The sequence below is a fragment of the Homo sapiens genome, chromosome 11, assembly GCF_000001405.40.
Source record: "Homo sapiens chromosome 11, GRCh38.p14 Primary Assembly".
Taxonomy (NCBI): domain Eukaryota; kingdom Metazoa; phylum Chordata; class Mammalia; order Primates; family Hominidae; genus Homo; species Homo sapiens.
Genome location: NC_000011.10, coordinates 17030715 through 17040817, shown reverse-complemented (window position 1 = coordinate 17040817; position 10103 = coordinate 17030715). Strand labels below are relative to the sequence as shown.

Below are 10103 nucleotides of genomic sequence, written 5' to 3'. Positions count from 1 at the left end.
TGATATTGCTGCTAATATCCAGGGGTAAAGAGAATGACATTACTCCCAATATCATAAAAGTGTACATACCCCTGTGATATTGTTCTTAATATCTGGAAGGCAAATATGATATTACTCCCAATTTCAAAGGGGGAATACATACCCCTGTGATATTGTTCCCAATATGCAGTGGGGGAGAGAATGATATTACCTTCAATATCGCAGGAGGTGTACACCCCTCTGTGATATTGTTCACAATGTTCAATGGGACAGATAATATTACTGGAAATATTGTTAATATACTGTGTGTCCACCCTCCTGCAATGTGGTTCATAATATTCAGGCAGGGAGAGGGGTGATATTACTCTCCATATCGCGGGGGTGTCCACCCCCCTGCGATGTGGTTCATAATATCCAGGGGGTTAGAGAGGGGTGATATTACTCTCCATATCGCAGGGGGTGTCCACCCCCTGTCTTGTAGGTAACAGAACAATGGGTTTTCTCTTCTCATCCATTCAGCCATTCTTTGTCTTTTGATTGGAGAGTTTAGTCCATTTACACTCAATGTTATTATCGATAAGTAAGGACTTACTCCTGCCATTTTGTTATTTGTTTTCTGATTGTTTGGTGGTCTTCTCTTCCTTCTTACCTTCCTGTCTTCCTTTAGTGAAGGTGATTTTCTCTGGTGATATGATTTTGTTTATTGCTTTGTATTTTTTGTGTATCCATTGTATGTTTTTTGGTTTGAGGTCACCATGAGGCTTGCAAATGCTATCTTGTAACCCATTATTTTAACCTGATAACAACAAAATACTGTTTACCTAAACAAACAAATATGCAAAAAGAAAACTAATAAAAAACTGTATGCCTTAACTTTGTCTTCCTGCTTTTTAACTTTTTGTTGTTTCTAATATATATCTTATTGTACTGTCTGTGTCTTGGAAAGTTGTTATAGTTTTTTTTTTTTTTTTTTTTTTTTTTGAGATGGAGTTTCACTCTTGTTGCCAGACTGGAGTGCAATGGCGCGATCTCGGTTCACCGCAACCTCCGCCTCCCGGGTTCAAGCAATTCTCCTCCCTTAGTCTCCTGAGTAGCTGGGATTACAGATTACAGGCATGCACCACCATGCCCGGCTAATTTTGTATTTTTAGTAGAGACAGGGTTTCTCCATGTTGAGGCTGGTCTCGAACTCCTGACCTCAGGTGATACATTGGCCTCGGGCTCTCAAAGTGCTGGGGTTACAGGCGTGAGCCACCGGGCCCAGCCAGTTTTTTTTTTTTTATTATTATTGTTTCATCATTTAGTCTATTAAGGAAAAGAGAAGTTTATACATCACGGTTACAGTTGTAATATTCTGTGTTTTTCTGTGTGCTTACTATTACCAGTGAGTTTTGTAGCTTCAGGTGATTACTTGTTGATCATTAACATAATTTTCTTTCTGATTGAAGTACTCCCTTTAACATTTCTTGTAGAATAGGTCTGGTGTTGATGAAATCCTTTAGCTTTTGTTTGAGAAAGTCTTTATTTCTCCTTTATGTTTGAAGGATAATTTCACCAGATATACTATTCTAGGGTAAAAGTTTTTTTTTCCTTTAGCACTTTAAATATGTCATGCCACTCTCTCCTGGCCCGTAAGGTTTCCACTGCAAAGTCTCCTGCCAGATGGATAAGAGCTCTCTTGTATGTTATTTGTTTCTTTTCTCTTACTGCTTTTAGGATCCTTTCTTTATCCTTGATCTTTGTGAATTTGACTATGAAATGCTTTGAGGTAGTCTTCTTTGGGTTAAATATGCTTGGTGTCCTATAACCTTCTTTTACTTTGGTATTGATATATTTCTTTTCTTTTTTTTTTTTGACAGACTCTCACTCTGTCACTCTGTTGCCCAGGCTGGAGTGCAGTGGTGCAATCTTGGCTCACTACAACCTCCGCTATTCGCCTGTCTCAGCCTCCTGAGTAACTGGAATTACAGGTGCATGCCACCACGCCCAGCTAATTTTTGTATTTTTAGTACAGACAGGGTTTGACTATGTTGGTCAGGCTGTTCTCGAACTCCTGACCTTGTGATCCACCTGCCTCGGCCTCCCAAAGTGCTGGGATTACAGGTGTGAGGCACCGTGCCAGGCTGATATTGATATCTTTCTCTAGGTTTGGGAAGTTCTGTTATTATCCCTTTGAATAAACTGGTTTTTTTTTGTTTGTTTGTTTTTTGAGATGGAGTCTCCCTTTGTCCCCCAGGCTGGAGTGCAGTGGTGCGATCTCGGCTCACTGCAAGCTCCGCCTCCCGGGTTCACACCATTCTCCTGCCTTAGCCTCCTGAGTAGCTGGGACTACAGGTGCCTGCCACCACGCCCAGCTAATTTTTTGTATTTTTAGTAGAGATGGGGGCTTCACCGTGTTAGCCAGAATGGTCTCCATCTCCTGACCTCGCCCGCCTCGGCCTCCCAAAGTTCTGGGATTATAGGCATGAGCCACTGCGCCTGGCCTTGAATAAACTTTTTACGTCTATCTCTTTCTCTACTTCCGCTTTAAGGCCAATAACTCTTAGATTTGCCCTTTTGAGGCTATTTTCTAGATCTTGTAGGTGTGCTTCTTTTTTTTATTATTATTTTTTCTTTTGTCTCCTCTGACTATATTTTCAAATAGTCTGTCTTCAAGGTCAGTAATTCTTTCTTCTGCATGATCAACTCTGCTATTAAAGGACTCTGATGCATTCTTCAGTATGTGAACTGCTTTTTTCAGCTCCAGAATTTCTGCTTCATTCTTTTAAATTCAATCTCTGTTAAATGTATCTGGTAAAATTCTGAATTCCTTCTCTTTGTTATCTTGAATTTCTCTGAGTTTCCTCACTATTTTGAATTCTGTCTGAAAGGTCACATCTCTGTTTCTTAAGGATTGGTCCCTGGTAACTTATTTAAATCATTTGGTGAGGTAATGTTTTTCTGGATGGTGCTAACGCTAGTAGATGTTCTTGGGTATCTGGGCATTGAGGAGTTAGGTATTTATCATCGTCTTCACTGTCAGGGCTTGTTTCTCATCTTTCTTGGGAAGGCTTTCCATATATATGAAAGGACTTGAGTGTTGTAATCCAAGCTGTATTTGCTTTAGGGGGGCACCCCTAGCCCGGTAACACTGTGGTTCTTACAGACTTGTAGAGGTACCACCTTGATGGTTTTGGACAAGATCTGGGAGAATTCTCTGGATTACCAGGCAGAGACTTTTGTTTTCTTCTCTTACTTTCTCGCAAACAGAGTCTCTCTGTATTCTGAGCCACCTAAAGCTGGGGGTGGAGTGACACAAGCACCCCTCTGGCCACTACTAATATGACTGTCCTGGGTCAGACCTGAAGCTGACATAGCACTGGGTCTTGCCCAAGGCCTGCTGTAACCACTCCCTGGCTACAGCCTAGGCCCTGGGGCTCTTCAATCAGCAGGTGGCAAAGCCAGCAAGGCTTCTGTCCTTCCCTTCAGGGCACTGAGTTCCCCCAGGCCCTGGGTGGGTCCAGAGGTGCGGTCTGGGAGTCAGGGACTAGAGTCAAAAACCTGAGAAGTCTACCTGGTGTTCTATTGTACTGCTGCCGAGCTGGCACTCAAACTGCAAGACTACAGTCCTTCCCACTCTTCCCTCCCCTTTCCAAAGGCAGAGGAGCCTTACCCTGTAGCCACCACCACTGCAGGCCATGGGGAGTACTGCCCGACTGCGGCTCATGTTCCCTTAAGGCCCATGGTGAATGCTTGTGGTGCAATGCTGCCTGGCTTGGGACTCACCCTTCAGGGCAGTAGGCACCCCTCTGGCCCAGGGCAGATCCAAAAATGCCACCCAAGAATCAAGTCCCAGAATCAGGGACCTCAAGAGCCTGCTTGGTGCTCTACCCCACTGTGGCTGAGCTGGTTACCTAAGGTGCAAAACAAAGTCCTCTTTACTTTTCCCTCTGCTTTTCTCAAGCACAAGAGTTTTGCCCTGTAGCACCCCCAGCTGGTAATGTGCTGAATCTTACCTGAAGCCAGCAAGTCAAGTCTCTGAGGCTCACCCAAGGCCCTCCATGTAGTACCTGGGTATCTCTGCTGGTTATTCAGAGCCCAAGCACTCTTCATTTAGTAGGTGATGACTGTTGCCAGCACTGAGTCCTTCCCTTCAAGGCAACTCGTTCCCTTCTGGCTCAGGGTATGTCTAAAAATGTCTGGGAGCTAGGACCTGTAATGGGAGCCTCACAACACTGACTGGTGTCCTAGCAAGCTGTGGCTGAGCTGGTATCCAAGATGCAAGACAAAGTCCTCTCTACTCTTCCCTTTCCTTTCCTCAAGTAGAAGGAAGAGGTCTCTTGTGGAGCCATGAGCTGTGCCCCTGGGGTTAGGATAGGGGAGATGGCAGCACTCCCTTAGCAACCCCAGCTGGTGTCTCAGTAGGTCATGTGGCGCCTGAATCTCAGCCCAGTTCTGTTCAGCCCTAAGACTCACCTAGAGTTTCAGTCCTTATGGCCTAGACTGCCTTTCAAGTTTACTTAGGGACCCAGAGCACAGTAGCCTTAAGTGGCAAGGTTTGCAAGAACTCAAGTTCTGACCACTGGGATCAATAATTCCCCTGTGGCTAGGGCTGGTTTAAATGCTCCCTCCATGGATGGGCAGCAACTGAGTTTGGTCCAGTTTTCCTTTCTGCTGTAACAAGACAGCAGTGCATTCAATGCCTCATACTTGCTGTGCTTTTCCTCCCTCAGTGCCCAGAGACACTCTCTGTACCAGGCTGTGGCTGCCAGGGGTCGGGGAGGGGTGGCATTGGTGGTTCAAGACTGTTTTTTCTATCTCTTCCATGCTTCTTTCTGTGATATCGAGATAAAACCAGGTACTATGAGGGCTCACCTGATTTTTGGTTCTTATGAAGGTGTTTTTTCTGTACATACAGTTGTTTAATTAGCAGCCTCGTGGGTGGGGAGATGATGATCGGATAATCGGTGGAGCCTTCTATTCTGCCATTTTGCTCTGCCTGTCCAGCTCAGGCCATTTTTTTTTTTTTTTTTGAGATGGAGTCTTGCTCTGTTGCCCAGGCTGGAGTGCAGTGGCGCGATCTTGGCTCACAGCAACCTCTGCCTCCCAGGTTCAAGCGATTCTCCTACCTTAGCCTCCCAAGTAGCTGGGATTACAGGTGAGTGCCACCATGCCTGGCTAATTTTTGTATTTTTAGTAGAGACAGGGTTTCACCATGTTGGCCAGGCTGGTCTTGAATTTCTGACCTCATGATTAGCCCACTTCAGCCTCCCAAAGTGCTAGGATTACAGGCTTGAGCCACCACGCCCAGCCAGCCATATATATATATATATACATTATATATATTATATATACATATATACATATATAATTTTTATATATACATTATACACACACACACACACACACACACACACACACACACACACACATATATATATACGTAATTTTTTTTTTTTTTGTAGAACATCCTTTAGAATAGACTTGTCTGGGCCGGGCATGGTGGCTCATGCCTGTAATCCCACCACTTTGGGAAGCCAAGGCAGGTGGATCACATGAGGTCAGGAATTTGAGACCAGCCTGGCCAACATGGTGAAACCCTGTCTCTACCAAAAATATAAAAATTGGCTGGGCGTGGTGGGAAGCACCTGTAGTCCCAGCTACTTGGGAGGCTGAGGCAGGAGAATTACTTGAACCCGGGAGGCGGAGGTTGCAGTAAGTCAAGATCACGCCATTGCACTCCAGCCTGAGCAATGAAGTGAGACTCCGTATCAAAAAAAAAAAAAGGAAAAACAAGAATAGATTTGTCTGATTTTCTCATCATGATCAGATATAGGTTAGACATTTTTGCAGACATATTATATATGTGGTGTGTCCTCAGTGCGTCATCTCGTCAGGAGGCACGTGATATCAGTTTGTCCTATTACTGGGGGTGATATTTGATTCTTATTTGGTTCAGGGGTGTCGCCTACATTTCTTCACTGTAAAGGTACATTTTTCTCTTTGTAATTTACACAGGATGGTATCTAGAGGCTGTGTGGAACATCCTGTCCTCCAACAACCTTTTACCCAATGTTTCAACATCCAGTGATGATTCTCGCCAGAAGTATTTATTGTAGGGTACTTGTTAGATTGTGATTTTCTAATGCTATCATTCTGTCTTCATTCATTAGTTGGCATTTTTCTGTAAAGAAACACTTTCCCGGGGGTGGAGCCAAGATGGCCGAATAGGAACAGCTCCAGTCTACAGCTCCCAGCGTGAGCGACGCAGAAGACGGGTGATTTCTGCATTTCCAACTGAGGTACTGGGTTCATCTCACTGGGGATTGTCGGACAGAGGGTGCAGGACAGTGGGTGCAGCGCACTGAGCGTGAGCCGAAGTAGGGCAAGGCATCGCCTCACCTGGGAAGCACAAGGGGTCAGGGAATTCCCTTTCCTAGTCAAAGAAAGGGGTGACAGACGGCACCTGGAAAATCGGTTCACTCCCACCCTAATACTGTGCTTTTCCAACGGTCTTAGCAAATGGCACACCAGGAGATTATATCCCGTGCCTGGCTCGGAGGGTCCTACGCCCACAGAGCCTCGCTCATTGCTAGCACAGCAGCCTGAGAACAAACTGCAAGGAGGCAGCCAGGCTGGGGGAGGGGCACCCGCCATTGCCCAGGCTTGAGTAGGTAAACAAAGCAGCTGGGAAGCTTGAACTGGGTGGAGCCCACCGCAGCTCAAAGAGGCCTGCCTGCCTCTGTAGACTCCACCTCTGGGGTCAGGGCATAGCCGAACAAAAGGCAGCAGAAATCTCTGCAGACTTAAATGTCCCTGTCTGACAGCTTTGAAGAGAGTAGTGGTTCTCCCAGCACGCAGCTGGAGATCTGAGAATGGACAGGACAGACTGCCTCTTCAAGTGGGTCCCTGACCCCCAAGTGGCCTAACTGGGAGGCACCCCCGAGTAGGGGCAGACTGACACCTCACACGGCCGGGTATTCCTCTGAGACAAAACTTCCAGAGGAACGATCAGGCAGCAACATTTGCGGTTCACCAATATCCGCTGTTCTGCAGCCTCTGCTGCTGATACCCAGGCAAACAGGGTCTGGAGTGGACCTCCAGCAAACTTCAACAGACCTGCAGCTGAGGGTCCTGACTGTTAGAAGGAAAACTAACAAACAGAAAAGACATCCACACCAAAACCCAATCTGTATGTCACCATCATCAAAGACCAAAGGTAGATAAAACCAAAAAGATGGGGAAAAAACAGAGCAGAAAAACTGGAAACTCTAAAAATCAGAGCGCCTCTCCTCCTCCAAAGGAACACAGCTCCTCACCAGCAACAGAACAAAGCTGGATGGAGAATGACTTTGACGAGTTGAGAGAAGAAGGCTTCAGATGATCAAACTAATCCAAGCTAAAGAAGGAAGTTCGAACCCATGGTAAAGAAGTTAAAAACCTTGAAAAAAAATTAGACAAATGGCTAACTAGAATAACCAATGCAGAGAAGTCCTTAAAGGACCTGATGGAGCTGAAAACCAAGGCACGAGAACTACATGACGAATGCACAAGCCTCAGTAGCCGATTTGATCAACTAGAAGAAAGGGTATCAGTGATGGAAGATGAAATGAATGAAATGAAGCGAGAAGAGAAGTTTAGAGAAAAAAGAATAAAAAGAAATGAACAAAGCCTCCAAGAAATATGGGACTATGTGAAAAGACCAAATCTACGTCTGATTGGTGTACCTGAAAGTGATGGGGAGAATGGAACCAAGTTGGAAAACACTCTTCAGGATATTATCCAGGAGAACTTCCCCAATCTAGCAAGGCAGGCCAACATTCAAATTCAGGAAATACAGAGAATGCCACAAAGATACTCCTCGAGAACAGCAACTCCAAGAACATAATTTTCAGATTCACCAACGTTGAAATGAAGGAAAAAATGTTAAGGGCAGCCAGAGAGAAAGGTTGGGTTACCCACAAAGGGAAGCCCATCAGACTAACAGCTGATTTCTCGGCAGAAACTCTACAAGCCAGAAGAGAGTGGGGGCCAATATTCAACATTCTTAAAGAAAAGAATTTTCAACCCAGAATTTCATATCCAGCCAAACTAAGCTTCATAAGTGAAGGAGAAATAAAATCCTTTACAGACAAGCAAATGCTGAGAGATTTTGTCACCACCAGGCCTGCCCTAAAAGAGCTCCTGAAGGAAGCACTAAACATGGAAAGGAACAACCGGTACCAGCCACTGCAAAAACATGCCAAATTGTAAAGACCATCGAGGCTAGGAAGAAACTGCATCAACTAATGAGCAAAATAACCAGCTAACATCATAATGACACGATCAAATTCACACATAACAATACTAACCTTAAATGTAAATGGGCTAAATGCTCCAATTAAAAGACACAGACTGGCAAATTGGATAAAGAGTCAAGACCCATCAGTGTGCTGCATTGAGGAAACCCATCTCACGTGCAGAGACACACATAGGCTCAAAATAAAGGGATGGAGGAAGATCTACCAAGAAAATGGAAAACAAAAAAAAGCAGGGGTTGCAATCCTAGTCTCTGATAAAACAGACTTTAAACCAACAAAGATCAGAAGAGACAAAGAAGGCCATTACATAATGGTAAAGGGACCAATTCAACAAGAAGAGCTAACTATCCTAAGTATATATGCATCCAATACAGGAGCACCCAGATTCATAAAGCAAGTCCTTAGAGACCTGCAAAGAGACTGAGACTCCCACACAATAATAATGGGAGACTTTAACACCCCACTGTCAACATTAGTCAGATCAACGAGACAGGAAGTTAACAAGGATATCCAGGAATTGAACTCAGCTCTGCACCAAGCAGACCTAACAGACATCTGCAGAACTCTCCACCCCAAATCCACAGAATATACATTCTTTTCAGCACCACACCACACCTATTCCAAAATTGACCACATAGTTGGAAGTAAAGCACTCCTCAGCAAATGTAAAACAACAGAAATTATAACAAACTGTCTCTCAGACCACAGTGCAATCCAACTAGAACTCAGCATTAAGAAACTCACTCAAAACCGCTCAACTACTTGGAAACTGAACAACCTGCTCCTGAATGACTGCTGGGTACATAACGAAATGAAGGCAGAAATAAAGATGTTCTTTGAAGCCAACAAGAACAAAGACACAACATACCAGAATCTCTGGGACACATTCAAAGCAGCGTGTACAGGGAAATTTATAGCACTAAATGCCCAAAAGAGAAAGAAGGAAAGATCTAAAATTGACACCCTAACATCACAATTAAAAGAACTAGAGAAGCAAGAGCAAACACGTTCAAAAGCTAGCAGAAGGCAAGAAATAACTAAGATCGGAGCAGAACTGAAGGAAATAGAGACACAAAAAAACCCTTCAAAAAATCAATGAATCCAGGAGCTGGTTTTTTGAAAAGATCAACAAAATTGATAGAACGCTAGCAAGACTAATAAAAAGAAAAGAGAGAAGAATCAAATAGATGCAATAAAAAATGATAAAGGGGATATCACCACCGATCCCACAGAAATACAAACTACCATCAGAGAATACTATAAACACCTCTGTGCAAATAAACTAGAAAATCTAGAAGAAATGGATAAATTCCTTGACACATACACCCTCCCAAGACTAAACCAGGAAGAAGTTGAATTTCTGAATAGACCAATAACAGGCTCTGAATTGAGGCAATAATTAATAGCTTACCAACCAAAAAAAGTCCAGGACCAGATGGATTCACAGCCGAATTCTACCAGAGGTACAAGGAGGAGCTGGTACCATTCCTTCTGAAATTATTCCAATCAATAGAAAAAGAGGGAATCCTCCCTAACTCATTTTATGAGCCCAGCATCATCCTGATAGCAAAGCCTGTCAGAGACACAACAAAAAAAGAGAACTTTAGACCCATATCCCTGATGAACATCAATGCAAAAATCCTCAATAAAATGCTGGCAAACCAAATCCAGCAGCACATCAAAAAGCTTATCCACCATGATCAAGTGGGCTTCATCCCTGGGATGCAAGGCTGGTTCAATATACGCAAATCAATAAATGTAATCCAGCATATAAACAGAACCAAAGACAAAAACCACATGATTATCTCAATAGATGCAGAAAAGGCCTTTGACAAAATTCAACAA

At 43.9% G+C, this 10103-nt stretch overlaps 2 annotated features.

Annotated features, from left to right (window-relative positions):
- Positions 3084 to 3659: an enhancer, noted in NCBI's record as "H3K27ac-H3K4me1 hESC enhancer chr11:17058706-17059281 (GRCh37/hg19 assembly coordinates)". NCBI's record gives its function as "activates a minimal SCP1, AML or CMV promoter by ChIP-STARR-seq in naive H9 embryonic stem cells {active_cell/tissue: H9 hESC(naive)}" and the evidence as "EXISTENCE:reporter gene assay evidence [ECO:0000049][PMID:30033119]".
- Positions 3660 to 4236: an enhancer, noted in NCBI's record as "H3K27ac-H3K4me1 hESC enhancer chr11:17058129-17058705 (GRCh37/hg19 assembly coordinates)". NCBI's record gives its function as "activates a minimal SCP1, AML or CMV promoter by ChIP-STARR-seq in naive H9 embryonic stem cells {active_cell/tissue: H9 hESC(naive)}" and the evidence as "EXISTENCE:reporter gene assay evidence [ECO:0000049][PMID:30033119]".